General features: G+C 46.4%; 2 pseudogenes, besides 1 other annotated feature; both read right to left on the bottom strand.

Annotated features, from left to right (window-relative positions):
* Positions 152-211: a silencer, noted in NCBI's record as "silent region_3591". NCBI's record gives its function as "represses an Ori minimal core promoter by ATAC-STARR-seq in GM12878 lymphoblastoid cells {active_cell/tissue: GM12878}" and the evidence as "EXISTENCE:reporter gene assay evidence [ECO:0000049][PMID:35858748]".
* RNU1-84P (RNA, U1 small nuclear 84, pseudogene) lies at positions 15,500-15,663 on the bottom strand (annotated as a pseudogene).
* Positions 18,944-19,503, bottom strand: BRD9P1 (bromodomain containing 9 pseudogene 1; annotated as a pseudogene).

Below are 20,685 nucleotides of genomic sequence, written 5' to 3'. Positions count from 1 at the left end.
TTCCAAATTAGGCAAGAATTGGGAGGCCGCGGGAGACTAGCTGCGAGAAGAGCGCGGACGTCACCCGGGGCCTCCCTCTCCCTCCCGCTCCCCGCGCCTGCATCACGTCCCCATGGCAACGGCGTGCCTCGGCGGCGATGAATGAGCCACTGCGAAGACCGGCGCGCGCCGAGATGCGCGCCCCCTCCGCCAGGCGTCACGGCCCCGCGGCTGCCCAGGGTAAGGGGGTGCAGCCCGGCGCCCGGAGGAAGGGATGCCCCACTCAGATTCCCAAAAGCCCAGGACCCATTCATTCCCAGCTGATCTTGTTGTGTCCCGGGAGCCCGGGGAATACTCCGTCCAGGGGTCCTTGACCCTCTGGTTCAGGGCTCCCTGGCTCCCAAGGCCCCCCTTACCCGGTCTCCGCTCTCCCCCGGTCAGCCCTCTGCTCCCCAAAGCCTGCGGCAAACCAAGCATTGTGTGGCTTAGCGCCACCGCGTGGCCGATTGTGGGGCTGCGGCGGGCGTGCTTGGCGGCTGGAGTCCCGCCGTCTATGTCGCCCTCTGGCGTCTGCAAGAGGGGAAGAGCATAAAAGAACTCAGCAATTTTCACACCAGAACCCTGATTAACGCGGGACTCATTCTTACCACTTAGGATTAACTTGTGATCAATCACACTTGTGATTAACGTTCAGCGAGCGCGCTCCATGTGTTAGGCACTTGCTACGTGCTTTCCTCGTATTACTCCATTCTCACAGCAACTCTGTAATGCAGAATATTATTATCATTTTATTTTACTTATTTTTTGAGACAGGGTCTCACTCTGTCATCAAGACTGGAGTGCAGTGGTGCGATCTCAGCTCACTCCAGCCTCTGTCTCCTGGGTTCAAGCAATCCTCTCGCTTTAGCCTCCTGAGTAGCTGGGATTACAGGCGCGCACCACCACACCCAGTTAATTTTTGTATTTTTAGTAGAGATGGGGTGTTGCCATGTTGCCCAGGCTGGTCTCGAACTCCTAGACTCAAGCAATCTGCCTGCCTCAGCCTCCCAAAGTGCTGGGATTACAGACGTGAACCACCGCTCCTGGCCTATTATCATTTTAAAGTGAGAAAAACTGAAGCCGAAAGAAGTTGTGGCTTTGCCTAAGATCCCATAGCAGCACGGGGCAGAACGGCCTCCTGCACTCAAGACTGTGAAAAGTGCTCTTGGGCCCTTTCACTTCCACACCCCTTGTCTCTTTTGACCAGCCTCACAGTCTCTTGAGATAAGCAGGACAGTGAGCATTAAAATCATTCCCATGTACAGATAAGGAGACTGAGACTGGGAGAAGTGAAATGGTTTTCCGGAGGTTTCAGACAGCCAAGGGTGGAACTCAGGTCTCTGGGCCTCTGACCCAGAGCTTTTTAGGATGAGGTAGCAGGGTGAAAGTGAGTCCAACACATCTCTGTGAGCCCCTGCTCCTTAGGATGAACGAAGGAGCCCATCCTAAGCTACTCCACCGTTAACAAACCAAGCAGCCCACAGTCAGGAGAGGGTCAGGGGGTCTCCCTATCTTCCAGCGTTTTGGGTGTTCATAGGAGCTAGATGCTCCAGTCTCTCCCCCTCCTCCCCAATTATCAATATCTCTAATTTTATTTTATTTTATTTTGAGATGGAGTTTTGCTCTTGTTGCCCAGGCTGGAGTGCAGTGATACAATCTCGGCTCACTCACTGCAACCTCCACCTCCTGGATTAAAGCAGCTCTCCTGGGTCAGCCTCCCAAGTAGCTGGGATTGCAGGTGCAGCTAATTTTTGTATTTTTTAGTAGGAACGGGGTTTCACCATGTTGGCCAGGCTGGTCTCAAACTCCCGATCTCAGGTTATCCGCCTGCCTGGGCCTCCCAAAGTGCTGTGATTATAGGCATGAGCCACTGCACCCAGCAATATCTCTAATTTTATATATACTGTGTTTCGTGTTTGAATGTTGTTGTCTTACGATGTAATCTTCCTGCTGTGGTGGAACCCTTGTACGTATCTACTATTTAGTGAGAAAAATGCCTCCTCTTTGCTTGCTGTTCTTAACGGGTTGGCGTTGTTTTTCAATGAATCTTCTTGGGTCTATTGCTTTCTTGATTTTCTTGCAGAAATACTGATCTTATGTAAGTCTTTGGAGGCTGTTGATAGCTTGTTCTTACTGGCTTGTATTTTCTTTTTTCTTTTTTTTTTTTCAGATGATGTCTCACTCTGTCACCCAGGCTGGAGTGCAGTGGTGCGATCTCAGATCACTACAACCCCCACCTCCTGAATTCAAGCGATTCTCCTGTCTCAGCTTCCCAAATAGCTGGATTACAGGTGCCTACCACCACACCTGGCCAATTTTTGTATTTTTAGTAGAGATGGGGTTTCACCATGTTGGCCAGGCTGGTCTCAAACTCCTGACCTCAAGTGATCCCCCCACCTCGGCCTCCCAAAGTGCCAGGATTACAGGTGTGAGCCACAGTGCCCAGCCTGTGCTGATAACATTCTATGGCTTTCTCTGTGCACCATTAGGTGAGAGAGGTTGGGAGGCACTGCTTCAGGACTACTTAGGGGCATCATCAAAACTGTTGATCTGGTGGATGTGAAAATGTATCTCGTTGTGGTTGCCCTTAATACTGATGGGGTTGAACATCTTTTCAAGTTTATAGAACATTCTTATTTTTTCCCTCTGGAATATTCATGTCTTTTACTTAATTTTCTCTCTCTTTTTCCTTTTCCTTATTGATAAGTCATTGTGGATACTATTTATTGCTGTATCGATCAGGGTTCTATTGCAGAAACCACTCTTACCATTTTAAGCATTAAGGGATTCTGTATAGGGTTTTAGTGTTTATAAAATAATTGGAAGAGCTGGAGAAATGGGCTATTAATTGGACCTTCAGAAATGACATAAAAAACAACCCTGCAGAATCAGCCCACCCCAGGGTACTGTGAACTCTGCCGCAATCTGAGGCTGGAGAATCCTCTGTCCTAACCGCTGGCTCTGAGTGACATCACTTTGGCCAAGGATTGGGAAGCTGCTATTGAGAGCGTTGATTCCAGGAATGCACTGCCTTGGCTGGCGTCTGAGGGATAGAAAGTCAATGTCAGGACTGTTGGCTCCAAAACTGGTTGTGCCTGAGCATTGCACGGCAGGACAGATGCCTCCTGCACAGCTGCCCATCTCACGGGAGTGCCTCTGGCTGGCGGGATCTAAGTCCCTTGCTGTAAGCAAGTCTGGGAAACAGAGTGTTTCTCTTTGTAGAATCTGAAGAACAGGAAAGCACACTGGAAAGAGATTGGGAGAGATCGTGAGTTAACCAATTTACCACGCCTGCCGAATCCCACCCTTTCAGACACTCAACATTCATTTGTGCCCTCATCCTCAAACATCCAAACAATGACATCAACCACCATCCGGCCCCAACACAAAAACTCTCTCTTTCTCATACAAAGATAAAAGTACTAAGTCACTCTGTATTAGTCTGTTCTTGTACTGCTATAAAGGAATAACTGAGACTGGGTAAATGATAAGAAAATAGGTTTAATCGGCTCATGCTTCCGAAGGCTGTACAGGAAGTATGGCAGCATCTGCTTCTGGGGAGGCCTCAGGGAACTTACAATCATGGTGGAAGGCAAAGTGGGATCAGGCTTCTTCACAGGACTGGAGCAGGAGGAAGAGAGAGCAGGGAGAGGCGCTACACACTTTTAAACAACCAGATCTCACTCACTTACTATCACAAGAGAACAACATGGAGGGGACGGCGCTAACCCATGCATGAGAACTTCACCCACCTGGTCCAGTCACCTCCACCAGGCCCCACCTCCGACATGAGATTCGGTGGGGACACAGATCCAAGCCATATCACACTCCTTAAAAGAGAACATAGTAGCTCAGTCATCACACCCATTTCTGGGTATTATTCAACCTTCTTTGGTTCAATCCCAATTCCATCTTGATATCCTGTAACTTGTGGACTTAAAATATGAACCACCATCTGTACTCTCTATCAGTTCTCCACCTTGAGAACACTGACATTTTGGGCCAAATAATATCTGTTGTGGGGGACTTTTCTGTGCATTGTAGGATATTTAGCAGCCTCCCTTACTCTACCTGATAGATGCCAGTAGCGCTCCCCTTTCCCAAGTCATGGCAATTGAAAATGTCTCTAGACATTGGCAAGGGTCCCTGTATTAGTCCGTTTTCACACTGCTATAAGGAACTTCCTGAGACTGGGTACTTTATAAAAGGAAAGAGGTTTAATTGACTCACAGTTCTGCATGTCTGAGGAGGCCTCAGGAAACTTACAATCATGGTGGAAGGTGAAGCAGGCACCTTCTTCACAAGGCGGCAGGAGGGAGAAGTGAGAGCGCAGAAGAGCGCAGGTTTTAAAACCATCAGATCTCGTGAGAATTCCCTATCATGAGAAGAGCATGGGGGAAGCCATCCCCGTGATCCAATCGCCTCCCTCCCTGTAAACATGGGGATTACAATTCTAGATGAGATTTGGGTAGGGACACAGAGCCAAACCATATCAGTCCCCCATAGGTCAAAATCACCCCTGGCTGAGAAGGATCACCATATATAAAACAGAAGAGGAAAGGGAGAGGGGAAGAAAAGTGAAAAGGGTCACATAATAGGACAAGGACAAAGCATTTGATGCCTGTTGGAATCTTTATTTCTGCAACAGGCCTAAGGCTGTAGTTGATATTTACAACTACCTTTCTTCATAACCCCCTCCACCTTCTCTTTGCCTTCAGCCTGTACCATGCTGATCAGCATTCTTTCCCTGGTGGGGGAAATTTTCAACCCTATAGGATTTGAACCATTTGTGAATCTGCCAGAATTTTTTGTTATGAATCCTAGCTCTGTTCCTTCCAAATCCCTGACTATTGGGCATCATCATCACCATCATCATCCATTGCCGATAAACTTACACAGTGTTTACTGTGTTCCAGGTGCTAAGTACTTTACCTATATTAATTCAGTCCTCACCACAGCAACTCTATGAGGTAGATGGTATTATTACCTTCTTTAAAATGGTAAGAAGAGGTAATAGGGGTACAGAAAGTTTAATCACTTGCTTAAAGTTGCATGGACAGTAAGTAGCAAAGCCGGGACTTCAACCCAGGCAGTCAGCTCAAATCCAAGCTTTTAACTCCTAAGGTAATAATATTTCTCACAACAGCTAAACTGTTATTCACAGCCCTTGTGTAGAACCACAGTTCAGAACTACTCTCCATCAAAACAAAGTGGACAGATGTACCCCTCAAAACTCTATCTGCTTGGAGATATCTCTTTGCATTGTCTTTCAGTGACACCCATGCGTGCGCTGTGATGCCATAGCAGTCCACTACCAGCTGGTGCCTTGTCACACAGAACCCTCTGTGTGCTGGGCTCAGAACTCCCCATCAGGCCATGGGTGTAAGTTGAGGGAGACGTGGCCAGGCAGGGAGAGTCTGGGGACACTGGAAGTGGGAGCCCCCTGCTTGTTAGACCCACTTCGGCTTCCAGGCTATGCTTGAGCTTGAGGTCATGTGCACAACTTTCATTAAGGATGGGGAATAACTTTGCAAGCCCAGCCATGGCTTGGTGGATCAGGCAAAACTCAGTTCTTTATGAGTATCTCAGCTTGTGTTCTGAAGGGGGCATGGTGCCACAAAGTACCATAGACTTGGGGAAAGCACTGTGAGAAATTTATATCTCACAGTTCTAGAGGCTGGAAGTCCAAGATCAAGGTGTCAGCAGGATTGGTTCCTTCTGAGGGCCTTCTTCTCTCTATCTTCACATCATCTTCCCTCTGTGTGTGTCTGTGGTCAAATTTCTTCTCCTTATAAGGACATTGGTCATAATGGATTAGGGACCACTCTAATAATCTCATTTTAATTTTACTTCTTTAAAGATTGTATCTCCAAATATGGTTATATTCTGAGGTACAGGGGGTTAGGACTTCAATACATGAATTTTGGGGCAGAGGAGAAGAGGGACACATAAGCCCATAACACAGGCTAAAGAAAAAAAATCACATGATCATATCAATTGATACGGAAATTGCATTTCAGTCCAGGTGCGGTGGCTCATGCCTGAAATCCCAGCACTTTTGGAAGCCAAGGTGGGAGGATCACTTGAGCCTGGGAGTTTGAGACCAGCCTGGGCAACACGGTGAAACCTCGTCTCTACAAAAAATGCAAAAAAATTAGCCAGGCATGGCCGGGTGCGGTGGCTCACGCCTGTAATCCCCTTACTTTGGGAGGCTGAGGCGGGTGGCTCACTTGAGATCAGGAGTTTGAAACCAGCCTGGCCAACATAGTGAAATCCCGTCTCTACTAAAAATACAAAACTTAGCCAGGCATGGTGGTGCATGCCTGTAATAATCCCAGCTGCTTGGGAGGGTGAGGCAGGAGAATCGCTTGAACCCAGGGGTGGAGGTTGCAGTGAGCTGAGATCGCGCCACTGCACTCCAGCCTGGGCGACAGAGCAAGATTCCATCTTTAAATAAATAAATAAAAATAGGAATAGGGGAAACTCTCTCAACTTGATAAAAAGCATCTACAAAAACTCGACAGCTAACACTATACTTAATGGCAAAAACTGAACGGCTTCTAAGATTGGGAACAAGGCAAGGCTGTCAGATCTCCCCGCTTTTATTCAAAAATTTTTTTTTTTTTTGAGACAGAGTCTTGTTCTGTCCCCCAGGCTGGAGTGCAGTGGTGCAATCACAGCTCACTGCAGCCTTGATCTCCTGGGCTTAGGCAATTCTCCCACCTCAGCCTCCTAAATAGCTGGGATTACAGGCGTACTCCAGCATCTTAATTCAATTTAGTACCAGAAGTTCTAGCCACTGAGATAAGTCAAGAAAAGGAAATAAAAGGCATACAGATTGAAAGAAGGAATGAAACTGTGCCTGTTTGCAAATGATGTGGTTATTAACATACAAAAATCCCATGGAATCGGCCAGGCGCGGTGGCTCACGCCTGTAATCCCAGCACTTTGGGATGCCAAGGCGGGCAGATCATGAGGTCAGGAGATCGAGACCATCCTGGCTAACAAGGTGAAACCCTGTCTCTACTAAAAATACCAAAAATTAGCCGGGCGTGATGGCGGGCTCCTGTAGTCCCAGCTACTTGGGAGGCGGAGGCAGGAGAATGGCGTGAACCCGGAGGCGGAGCTTGCAGTGAGCCGAGAATGAGCCACTGAACTCCAGCCTGGGCAACAGAGCGTGACTTTGTCTCAAAAACAAAACAAAACAACACAACAACAACAAAACAACAACAACAACAAAAACAAAAACAAAACACTCAACTCTAGAAGTAATAAGTAACAAAACTGCAGGATATATGGCTGGGTGTGGTGGCTCACGCCTGTAATCCTAGCACTTTCGGAGGCTGAGGTGGGTGGATGGCTTGAGCTTAGGAGTTCAAGACTAGCCTGGGCAACATAGTGAAACCCTGTGCTTATTAAAAAAAAAAAAAAAAAAAAAAAAAAAAAAAAAAAAAAAGCTGGGCGCAGTCGCTCACACCTGTAATCCCAGCACTTTGGGAGGCCGAGGCGGGCAGATCACGAGGACAGGAGGTCGAGACCATCCTGGCTAACACAGTGAAACCCTGTCTCTACTAAAAATACAAAAAAAATTAGCCGGGTGTGGTGACTGGGGCCTGTAGTCCCAGCTACTCAGGAGGCTGAGGCAGGAGAATGGCGTGAACCCGGGAGGTGGAGCTTGCAGTGAGCCAAGATTGCGCCACTGCACTCCAGCCTGGGCGACAGAGCAACACTCCATCTCAAAAAAAAAAAAAGATTGTAGGATGTAAGCTCAACATACAAAAATCAATTGTATTTCTATGTACTAGCAATAATCACATGGACACAGACATTAAAAATATGATGTTATTTGCTTTATTTATTTATTTGGTTTTTGAGATAGAGTCTCGTTCTGCCGCCTAGCCTGGAGTGCAGTGGTGAAATTTTGGCTCACTGTAAACTCTGCTTCTCGGATTCAAGTGATTCTCGTGCTTCAGCCTCCCAAGTAGCTGGGATTACAGAGATGGATGCACCACCACACCCAGCTAAGGTTTTTTTTTTGCATTTTTAGTGGAAATGGGGTTTCGCTATGTTGGCCAGGCTGGTCTTGAAATCCTGGCCTCAAGTCATCTGCCTACCTCGGCCTTCCAAAGTGCTGGGATTACAGGCTTTAGCCACCGTTCCTGGCCATATAATGTCATTTACAATTGCTTAAAATAGAAAGGAAATACTTAGGTGTAAATCTAAGAAAATATGTAAAGGAATTGTAGGCTGAAAATTACAAAATGCTCATGAAAGAAGTCAAAGAAAATCTAAATAAATGGAAAGCCATAGTGTGTTCACGGATTGGAAGATAGCATAATAAAGATGTCAATTCTCTCCAAGTTGATATATAGATTTAATTCAACTCCTATCAAAACCCTGCAGGATTTTTTATAGGTATAGACAAGATTATTCTAAAATGTATATGAAAAGGCAAAATAACTAGAATAGCTAAAATAATTTTGAAAAAAAGAATAAGTTAGTGGAATTACTCTAAGAATTAAAGACTTATTATATAGCTAGAGTCATCAAGACTGTGTGTGGTGTCAGCAGAGGGATGGACACCTAGATCAATCAAATGAAAAGAGAACCCAGAAATACACCTGCACAAATACGCCCAATGATTTTAGACAAAGCCTCCTCAGTGGAGGAAAGCCAGCCTTTTCAGCAAGTAGCATTGCAGCAATTGTACATACATAGGCAAAGAAATAAAATCACAAGCTAGGTTTCACAATCTAACGGAGGAATTAACTCTAAATGGATCACAGACAACACCAAATGCTAGCAAGTTTACAGAGAAACTGGGTCACACACATTGCCGGTGGGAATGTAAAATGGTGCAGCCATTCTGGAAAAGAGTTTGGCCAATTCTTTTTATTACTTATTTATTTATTTTTGAGATGGAGTTTCGCTCTGTCCCCCAGGCTGGAGTGCAGTGGCACGATCTCGGCTCACTGCAACCTCCACCTCCCGAGTACAAGTGACTCTTCTGCCTCAGCCTCCTGAGTAGCTGGGATTACAGGTGCCCATCACCACATCCGGCTAATTTTTGTATTTTTAATTGAGACGGGGTTTCACCATATTGGCCAGGCTAGTCTCGAACTCCTGACCTCGTGGTCCACCTGCCTCAGCCTCCCAAGGTGCTGGGATTACAGGCGTGAGCCACTGTGTCTGGCCTGCCAATTCTTGAAAAGTTAAACATGCATCTACCAGACAACCCAGCAACTGCACTCCTGGGCATTATGAAAACTCATATCCACATGAAAACCTGTACAGGAATGTTTGCAGCAGATTTATTTGGAATAGCTCAAAACTGGAAACAACCCAAATGTTGTCCAACAGGCAAATGGTTATATAGCCTGTTAAACAATCAATACCATGGAAGAGTGCTAGCAATAAAAGTGAATGAACTTGGCCGGGCATGGTGGCTCACGCCTGTAATCCCAGCACTTTGGGAGGCTGAAGCAGGTGTGTCGCCTGAGGTCAGGAGTTCGAGACCTGCCTGGCTAACATGGTGAAACCTCGTTTCTACTAAAAATACAAAACTTAGGCCGGGCGCGGCGGCTCACGCATGTAATCCCAACACTTTGGGAGGCCGAAGCAGGTGGATCACCTGAGGTCAGGAGTTCAAGACCAGCCTGACCAACATGGAGAAACCCTGTCTCTACTAAAAATACAAAATTAGCAGGGCATGGTAGTGCACGCCTGTAATCCCAGCTACTCAGAAGGCTGAGGCAGGAGAATCGCTTGAACCTGGGAGGTGGATGTTGTGGTGAGCCGAGATCGTGCCACTGCGCTCCAGCCTGGGCAACAAGAGTGAAACTCCTACTCAAAAAATAAAATAAAATAAAAATAAATAAATAAAAATACAAAACTTAGCTGGGCGTGGTGGTGCGTGCCTGTAATCCCAGCTACTCAGGAGGCTGAGGCAGGAGAATACTTGAACCTGGAAAACAGAGATTGCAGTGAGCCGAGATGGCACCACTGCACTCCAGCCTGGGCGACAGAGCGAGACTCCGTCTCAAAAAAAAGAAAAAAACGGAATGAATTTCTGACACACAGAACAACCTAAATGAACCTGCAGTGGATGCTGCTAAGTGAAAAAGGCCGATCCCAAAATGTTGAATACTGTATGATTCCTTTTTTTTTTTCTTTTTTTCTTGAGACAGAGTCTTGCTCTGTTGCTGAGGCTGGAGTGTAGTGGCTCGATCTTGGCTCTTGGCTCACTGCAACCTTCACCTCCCAGATTCAAGTGATTCTCCTGCCTTGACCTCCTTAATAGCTGGGACTACAGGTACACGCCACCATGCCAGGCTAATTTTTGTATTTTTAGTACAGATGGGGTTTCTCCATGTTGGCCAGGCTGGTCTTGAACTCCTGACCTGAGGTAATCCACCCACCTCGGCCTCCCAAAGTGCTGGGATTACAGGCATGAGCCACCACACCTAGCCTATGATTCCTTTTATATAATATTCTTGAAATGACAAAGTTATAGAAATGGAAAACTGATTAGTGATTGCCAGGGGTTGAGGATGTGGGGAAGGAGAGGGGAATGGGGAAAGAAAGTGAGTATGACCATAATGGGCAGCATGGGGGATCTTGAAGTGATAGCAGTGTTCTGTATCTTGACTGTGTCAATGTCAATATCCTGGTAGTGATATTTTACTATAGTTTTTTGTTTTGTTTTGTTTTTGAGACAGCGTCTCGCTCTGTCGCCCAGGCTCGGAGTGCAGTGGCACGATCTTGTCTCACTGCAGCCTCCGCCTCCTGGGTTCAAGCAATTCTCCTGCCTCAGCCTCCAGAGTAGCTACTGGGACTACAGGCGCGCGCCACCATGCCCGGCTAAATTTTGTATTTTTAATGGAGACGGGGTTTCACCATGTTGGCCAGGCTGGTCTCGATCTCCCGACCTCATGATCCACCCGCCTCGGCCTCTTAAAGCTCTGGGATTACAGGCGTGAGCCACCGCGGCCGGCTTCGGCCTCTCAAAGTGCTGGGATTACAGGCGTGAGCCACTGCGCCCGGCCTCGGCCTCTCAAACTCTGGATTACAGGCATGAGCCACAGCGCCCGGCCTCGGCCTCTCGAAGCTCTGGGATTACAGGTGTGAGCCACCGTGCCCGGCCAATATTGTACTATAGTTTTGCAAGATATTATCAATGGGGAAAACTGGGTAAAGGATCGCTCTGTATTATTTCTTTGAACTGCATGTACATCCACAATTATCCCAAAATAAAAAGTTTAACGGCCAGGCGTGGTGGCTCACGCCTGTAATCCCAGCAGTTTGTGAGGCCGAGGCAGGTGGATCACTTGAGGTCAGGAGTTCAAAACCAGCCTGATCAACATGGCGAAACCCCGTCTGAACTAAAATACAAAAATTAGCCGGGTGTGGTGGTGGGCGCCTGTAATCCCAGCTACTTGGGAGGCTGAGGCAGGAGAATTGCTTGAACCCAGGAGGCGGAGGTTGCAGCAAGCTGAGATTGTGCCACTGAACTCCAGTCTGGGCAACAGAGTGAGACTCTGTCTCAAAAAAAAAAAAGTTTAACTAAAAAAAAAAAAAAAAAAAAAAAGACAGGGAGTCCAGTCACAGTGATTCACACCTAGAATCCTAGCACTTTGGAAGGACAAGGTGGGAGGATCGCTTGAGCCCAGGCGTTCAAGACCAGCCTGAGCAACATAGTGAGAACTCATCTCCACAAAAAATTTAAAAATTAACCAGGTGTGGCAGCGTGTACATGGAGTCCCAGCCACTCAGGAGGTTTGGGCTGGAGGATTGCTGGAGCCCAGGAGGTTGAGGCTACAGTGAACTATGATGTGCCACTGCACTCCAGCCTGGGTGACAGAGTGAAATCTTGTCTCAAAAACAAAAACAAAACAAAAAACAAAAAAACAGGCCAGGCACAGTTGCTCACACCTGTAATTCCAGCACTTTGGGAGGCCGAGGCATGAAGATCATTTGAGGTCAGGAGTTCGAAACCAGTCTGACCAACATGGTGAAACCTTGTCTCTACTAAAATACAAAAATTAGCTGGGTGTGGTGGCAGGCACCTGTAATCTCAGCTACTCGGGAGCTTGAGGCAGGAGAATCTCTTGAACCCAGGAGGCGGAGGTTGCAGTGAGCTGAGATCATGCCACTGCACTCCAGCCTGGGCAACAGAGTGAGACTCTCTCAAAAAAAAAAGAAGAAGAAAGAAAAAAAAAGAAAACAATAAAACCCCACCAAAACCAAATAAAACCAACAAAACACAGGGCACGTGCTCCAATTCTCCCATACAGCCTTTCCCTGAGCTCCATACAGTTTCTCCATCTGGTGTCATTGGCTCCACAGAGTAATAAGAGACAAGAAGAGGATTGCTTAGACTGCAGCCTGGTTTGGCTGGAGAATCTTTTCTCAGTCTGGGCCACACTGTAAACCATAAGGTTGGCTGTAACAAATTACCACAAACTTAGTGACTTAACAAACTTTTTTTTTTTTTTTGAGATAGGGTCTTACTCTGTTGCCCAGGCTGGAGTACAGTGGCACAATCTAGGCTCATTGCAGCCTCGACCTCCCAGGCTCAGGCAATCCTCCCACCTCAGCCTCCTAAATAGCAGGGACCACAGGCATCCACCACCATGCCTGGTCTTTAAACTGGTGATTTTAACCTTGAGTGCTTGGTTAAGGCAGTGTTTGCTCTGAGTTCCTCCACTGCAAAATAACTACGTTTCTCTTTGCAATTAATAAATATATTTTGAGGAGCAGCTGATGCTTTTAACTACCCTGGAGAGTTTAAAGAAAATGAAAAGCTCTGGCCAGGCACGGTGGCTCACACCTGTAATCTCAGCACTTTGGAAGGCCTAGGGGGGCAGATCACAAGATCAAGAGATCAAGAGATCAAGACCAGCCTGGCCAACATGGCGAAACCCCGTCTCTACTAAAAATACAAAAATTAGCTGAGTGTGGTGGCGCACCTGTAGTCCCAGCTACTCGGGAGGCTGAGGCAAGAGAATCGCTTGAAACCGGGAGGCAGAGGTTGCAGTGAGCCAAGATCACGCCACTGCACTCCAGCCTGGCAACAGAGTGAGACTCCATCTCAAAAAAAAAGAAAGAAAAGCTCAGGTCATTAAATGCTTGGCTCAAGACACAGAGCACCAAGTACTTCGCATGCCTGCCGTATGAGAATTTCTTACCCCTCTAACCACAGGGCTGCTGCAGCTGCAAATCAAAGGTATAATTAACAAATAAGTTAAATTCATACTATTTCCAAGTCTTTTCTGTGAAATCTAGGGCATTGATGGGAAAGTCTGGAAACCTCAAGAATTCAAATGACAACTTTAAAAGGAATCAGATAACTCCAAGTATCATGCACCTTCAAATTATATGCCAATTGAAGTATATAATGACCTTACCAGGGGATACCAGTTTTCTTCATGCCCAGTCCCTACCTATTGATAGTATTAATTCATGTGAATAATAAGCTACACATATTTAAAGTATACAATTTGGCCAGGCGCGGTGGCTCACGCCTGTAATCCTAGCACTTTGGGAGGCCGAGGCGGGCAGATCACCTGAGGTCAGGAGTTCAAGACCAGCCTGGCCAACATGGCGAAACCCCCATCTCTACTAAAAAAAAAAAAAAAATACAAAAATTAGCCGAGCGTGGTGGTGTGCACCTGTGAACCCATCTACTCAGGAGGCTGAGGCAGGAGAATCACTTGAACCTGGGAGGCGGAGGTTGCAGTGAGCCGAGATCGTGCCACTGTACTCCAGCCTGGGCAACAGAGTCAGACTCTGTCTCAATAAATAAATAAATAAATAAATAAATAAATAAATAAATAGTACAATTTGATAAGTTTTGACGTATGTGTATACCCATGAAACTGTAACCACAATGAAGATAATGAACATATCCATTACCTTCAAAAGTTTCCTCTTGACTTTTTTTTTTTTTTTTTTGAGACAGGGTCTTGCTCCCTTTATCGGGCTGGAGTGGAGTGGTGCGATTAAAGCTCACTGAGCCTCAGACTCTCAAGCTCAAGTGATCCTCCAACCACAGCCTCCCAAATAGCTGAGACCACAGGCGTGCACCACCACACCCAGCTAATTGTTTTACTTTTCGTAGAGAGGGGTCTCACTATGTTGCTTAGGGTGGTTTCAAACTCCTGGCCTCAAGCAAGCCTCCTGCCTCTACCTCCCAAACTGCTGGAATCACAGGCATGAACCACCATGCCCAGCCTCCTCTTGACTGTTTGTAATCCTTCGTCTACCCCCTGCCCAGCCCTATCTCTAAGCAACCACTCACCTGCCTTTTGTCACTATAGATTATTTTGCATTTTCTAGTATTTTATATGAATTGGATTATACAATGCATACTATTTTTTTTGAGGGGGGAATCTGCTTCTTTCAGCATTAGTATTTCGTGATCCACCCATGCTGTGTATGTATCAATAGTTCATTACTTTTATTTATTTATGTTTTAGACAGTTTCACTCTATCACCCAGGGTGGAGTGCAGCGGCACAATCTCAGCTCACTGCAACCTCTGCCTCCTGGGCTGAAGCGATTCTTATGCCTCAGCCTCCTGAGTAGCTGAGATTACCGGCACCCACCACCATGCCCAGCTAATTTTTGTATTTTTAGTAGAGATGGGGTTTTGCCATATTGCCCAGGCTGGTCTCCAACTCCTGGGCTCAAATGATCTGCCCGCCTGGGCCTCCCAAAGTGCTAGCATTACAGGCATGAGCCACTGTGCCCGGCATCATTGCTTTTAAATTGTGAAAAGTATTCCTGTGATTTGTTTATCCCTTAACCTATTTATGGACATTGGGTTGTTTCCAGTTTTGTGCCATCACAAATAAAACTACTATGAATATTTTTGTACAAGTCCTTGTTTGGACCTATGCTTTAATTTCTTTGGAACTATACCTAGAAGTGAAACGCTGAGTCATGTGGTAGTATGTGCTTAATTTTTTCAGAAACTGCCAAATTGTTTTTCCAAAATGTACCACTTTACATTCTCATCAACAGAGTATAAGAGCTCTAGTTTCTCCTTCATAGCCAACACTCAGTATAGTCAGTCTTTTTAATTTCAGTCATTCTAATAGGCGAGTAAGTGGTAGTTCATTGCATTATTTAAAAAAAGAAATTTGACACAGTAAGCCAGGCATGGTGGCTCCCGCCTGTAATCCTGGCACTTTGGGAGGCTGAGGCAGGTGGATCACGAGGTCAGGAGTTCGAGATCAGCCTGGCCAATGTGGTGAAACCCTGTCTCTACTAAAGATACAAAAAATTAGCCAGGTGTGGTGGTGCGCACCTGTAATCCCAGCTACTCAGGAGACTGAGGCAGGAGAATCGCTTGAACCTGGGAGGTGGAGGTTGCAGTGAGCCGAGATCGCATCACTGCATTCCACCCTGGGCGACAGGACAAGTCTCCATCTCAAAAAAAAAATAGAAAAGTAAAGAAAAGAAAAAAAAGAAAGTTGACACAGGAGAAAGCGCAAATGCAGTCCCCCACTGCCACAAACAACGCAGTTGAGTTTCCCACGTTGAGGGAAATTGCAAGGGTTAGCACACCTGGAGTGCAATGGATGCACCTCACCCTGGGAAAACCACCTATGTGATCATGGCATCTCCCCTGCCAGGTAAGTCATTGTGGTTTAAATTTGCATTTCTCTAATGACCAATGACATTGAGCATATTTTATTTGCTAACTTATCATCTATATACCTTCCTTGGTATGGTGTCCGTTCACATCATCTCGTTTTTTTGTTGTTGTTTTATTTTGTTTTTTGAGACAGAGTCTCACTCTGTCAACAGGCTGGAGTGCAGTGGTGTGATCTTAGCTCACTGAAACCTCCGCCTCCCAGGTTCAAGTGATTCTCCTGCCTCAGCCTCCCAAATAGCTGGGACTACAGGCACGCACCACCACACCCTGCTAATTTTTTGTATTTTTAGCAGAGACGGGGTTTCACCCTGCTGGCCAGGCTGGTCTCGAGCTCCTGACCTCAAGTGTTCCACCAGCCTCAGCCTCCCAAAATGCTGGGATTACAGGTATGAGCCACCGCACCCAGCCAATCATCTCCATTTAAAAATGAGGTTGTCTGAATTATTATTACTTAGTTATATGAGTTATTTTAATATATTCTAGGTCCAAGTCCTTTGTCAGATATATGTTTTGCAAATATTTTCTCCCAGTCTGTGGCTTGTCTTTTTATATTCATAACAGTGTTTTTTAAAGAGCTAAAGTTTTTGTTTTTGTTTTTGTTTGAGACGGAGTCTCGCTCTGTCGCCCAAGCTGAAGTGCGGTGGCGCGATCTCGGCTCGCTGTAACCTCAGCCTCCCGGGTTCAAGCGATTCTCCTGCCTCAGCCTCCTGAGTAGCTGGGAATACGGGCTCATGCCACCAAGTGCGGCTAATTTTTTTGTATTTTTAGTAGAGACAGGGTTTCACCATGTTAGCCAGGATGGTCTCGATCTCCTGACCTCGTGATCTGCCCGCCTCGACCTCCCAAAGTGCTGGGATTACAGGCGTGAGCCACCGTGCCCGGCCAAGAGTTAAAGTTTTTAATTTTGGTGAATTCCAATTTATAATGTTTTCTTTTATGGATCATGCTTTTTGGTGTCATAACTAAGAAAATGGTCCCTTAACTAGATCAAAAATATTTTCTCCTATGTTTTCTCTTAGAAGTATCATTTGTAGGCCCGGCACGGTGGCTCACGCCTGTAATCCCAGCACTTTGGGAGGCCGAGGCAGGAGGATCACGAGGTCAGGAGATCGAGACCATCCTGGCTAACATGGTGAAACCCCGTCTCTACTAAAAATACAAAAAATTAGCCAGGCGTGGTGGCAGGCTCCTGTAGTCCCAGCTACTCAGGAGGCTGAGGCAGGAGAATGGCGTGAACCCGGGATGTGGAGCTTGCAGTGAGCCGAGATTGAGCCACTGCACTCCAGCCTGGGCGACAGAGTGAGACTCTGTCTCAAGAAAGTAAAAGTATCATTCATATAGTGCTTACAAGTAGATTTGCTGTCTCATACTCCACTGTTTTGATTACAGTTCACTTGTAGTCTAGATTAGGGTTTGTATTAGAAATATGCGCTTAGAGGTTTTTTGTTTGTTTTGTTTCTTTGTTTGTTTGTTTTTAAATGGAGTCTCCCTCTGTCGCCCAGAGTATAGTGGCGTGATCTCGGCTCACTGCAGCCTCCGCCTCGTGGGTTCAAGCAATTCTCCTGCCTCAGCCTCCTGAGTAGCTGGGATTACAGGCGCCCAACACCACGCCTGGCTAATTTTTGTGTTTTTAGTAAAGGTGGGATTTCACCATGTTGGCCAGGCTGGTCTTGAACTCTTGACCTCAAGTGATCCACCCACCTTGTCCTCTCAAAGTGCTGGGATTACAGGCGTGAGCCACTGCACCCGGCGTACTTACAGTTTTAATTAGAAATGTAAAAATGTTATTTCTTCTGATTTTAAAAATAGAAAATGTTCTCGATTTGGTTTTTAATTCATTTATTTTTAATTACATAAATGACATCAGAGAACAATCTCTTTGTACAAAAAAGAACAAAAGCACATAGAATGGGGAAGCGAAAATCACTGACAAGCACTGTTGATTCAAGAAATCTGGTTTAGCTCACCATTTACGTGTTATTTTCTTGTCTTTATTTTTTTCTTTTTTTAAATTTAGAGACAGGGTCTTACTCTGTCACCTGGGCAGAATGCAGTGGCAGGATCATAGCTCTGTGCAACCCCAGACTCCTGGGCTCAAGCAATCCTCCTTTCTCATCCTCCTGAGTAGCTAGCACTACAGGTGCATGCCACCATGCCCAGGTAATTTTTAAAGTTTTTGCAGAGACAGGATCTCACTATGTTGTCCAGGCTAGTTTCAAACTCCTGGGCTCAAATGATCCTCCCTCCTCGGCCTCCCAAAGTGATGGGATTACAGGCATGAGCCATTGTGTCCAGCCTTACATATTATTTTCACGATTCATTAATCTCCATTTAAAAAAAAATGCTGTATACAGTATGCTGTTGATATATTTTTTCCGTAGCTGTTTTTCTTATTCCAGAAATAACATGAAAGTCTTTGTGTTGGCCGGACGTGGTGGCTTACGCCTGTAATCCCAGAACTTTAGGAGGCCAAGGCGGGTGGATCACCTGAGGTCAGGAGTTCAAGACCAACATGGTGAAACCCCGTCTCTACTAAAACTATAAAAATTAGCCAAGTGTGGTGGTGGGCGCCTGTAATCCCAGCTCCTTGGGAGGGTGAGACAGGAAAATCGCTTGAATCTGGGAGGCGGAGGTTGCAGTGAGCTGAGATTGCGCCATTGCACTCCAGCCTGGGCGACAGAGTGAGACTCTGTCTCAAAAAAAAAAAAGAAGAAAGAGAGAGAAAGAGAGAAAGGAAGAGAGAGAAAGAAAGAAAGAAAAGAAAGAAAGAGAGGAAGGAGGGAAGGAAGGAAGGAAGGAGGGAGGGAAGGAAGGAAGGAAGGAAGGAAGGAAGGAAGGAAGGAAGGAAGGAAGGGAGAGAAAGGAAAGAGGCCGGGCGCGGTGGCTCACGCCTGTAATCCTAGCACTTTGGGAGGCCGAGGCGGGTGGATTACGAGGTCAGAAGTTCGAGACCAGCCTGACCAACATGATGAAACCCCTATCTCTACTAAAAATACAAAAATTAGGCGGGCATGATGGTGCACACCTATAATACCAGCTACTGAGGCAGGAGAATCACCTGAACCCGGGGGACAGAGGTTGCAGTGAGCTGAGATTGTGCCACTGTACTCCAGCTTAGGCGACGGAGCAAGACTCTGTCTCAAAAAAAAAAAAAAGAGAGAGAGAGGGAGAGAAAGAAAAAGAGAAGAAAGAAAAGAAAGAAAGAAAATTCTTTTTGTCACCACAAAAACTTTGTACGTGCAAGTTTAAGTTTAAAAAATAATTCAGAGGATTCAGGCTCTGGAGACAGAAGAAATTCCTATGAGTTACGACTATGTCTTATTGTTCCCTGAGAGGAGGCTTCCCAGGTGGTGCAAAGGCTTTCGGATGTGTTAGAAAACTGAGGTTGAAAGACCTCCTCATCACGTCTGCGTTTCCTAAAGATATTCCAAGAGTTTAGCTGTTGTTTCTCATCTAACTTCAAATGGCTTTCGCCATGGTGCAATTTCTTTTGTACTTTCCCCAATGAACTAAGCATGGAAATAGCAAAAGAAACATACAATATGATTTCTTTGACATAAAGTCCAGAACAGAGCTGCTAGCATCTCCAAGGGAATCACCAACCTTGGCTTCATCTGTAGGTCAATGGAATGTTTCTCCTCTGCTTCAGCTGGAAAATTATCTTGGCATGATCCCACTTGTAATTGAGTCCTGCCACTCATCCACCTGTTTCTCACCATAACTCTGATGTCCCTCTCAAATTTCTGCAGTCTGCTCTTTGGAGATGAAACAGATCAGTTTCATTTCAACAGATTTTAAGTCATCACATAATAAATCATTTTGCATTGATTCCCGGGTTCAAGTGGTCCTCCTGCCTCAGCCTCCCAAGTAGCTGGAACTAAAGACATGCGCGACCTCGCCCGGCTAATTTTTGTCTTTTTAGTAGACACAGGGTTTCTCCATGTTGGCCAAGCTGCTCTCAAACTCCCGATCTCAGGTGATCCACCCACCTCGGCCTCCCAAAGCACTGGGATTACAGGTGTGAGCCACCGCGCCCGGCCCCTCCTACCATCTTTGAAGCCTAGAGTAGTAAGACCAAGGAGCAACTTCCTTGAGTGGGAGCTCACATCCACTGAGTAAGGTTTTCCCCTTTGGCTTTAAGATCTGACAGGTAAACTACACAGTTCAGTTGACTTCCATCTTCATTGCTTATAGAAGCCCATCTTGCTAGAAATCCCGTCCTCGGCCTCATCAATAGAGGGCGCTGAAGAGACACAGGAGGAGACAAGCGCAGCACCCACTTTCTGTGGCGCTCAGCTCTTGGGTAGGCAAAGTTTTCCACACCTGGGTCCTGCAGGCCACAGCTTTCCATAGCCTCTGGCCCACACATAATAGTTTTTGCAGGGACCAGATCCTGCTGAGGTCACCTTCTCCAGCTCCCAATTCATGAGCATGCAGTGACCAGCAGCACCCAGCAGCCAGCAGCTTCCCCTGGCATAGCCTCCCGCAGCTTTGCAGTGTTGCCCGAGGCACTTCAGATGTCTCATCAGCCATGGCCTTGCTCTCTCCAGCATGGTCTGGATCCCTGTCTTGGAGTGGGGCTCTTCCTTGGGTGCTCTATGTTAGCCCTTAGGGCAGCGGCTTCTCCCTGTATCTATTTCTTTCTTTTTTTCTTTTTTCTTTTCTTTTTTTTTTTTTTTTTTTTTGAGACAGGGTCTTACTTTGCCACCCAAGCTGGAGTGCATGGTGTGATCACAGCTCACTGCAGCCTTGACTTCGGGGGCTCAGGCGATCCTCCCACCTCAGCTTCCCGGTTAGCTGGGACTATAGGCACAAGCCACCGCACCCAGCTGATTTTTAAAAGTTTTTATAGCGACAGGGTTTCACTATGTTGCCTAGGGTGGTCTCAAACTCCTGGGGCTCAAGCAATGTGCTCACCTTGGCCTTCCAAAGTGCTGAGATTACAGGTATGAGCCACTGCGCCCGGCCTATGTTTTCGTTCTTTAGTGTTCTCTTCAACTCTCATTA

Source organism: Homo sapiens, chromosome 11, assembly GCF_000001405.40.
Source record: "Homo sapiens chromosome 11, GRCh38.p14 Primary Assembly".
In the NCBI taxonomy this organism is placed as follows: domain Eukaryota; kingdom Metazoa; phylum Chordata; class Mammalia; order Primates; family Hominidae; genus Homo; species Homo sapiens.
The sequence above is the reverse complement of the archived record's forward strand: the minus strand, read 5'-3'. Positions and strand labels throughout refer to the sequence as shown.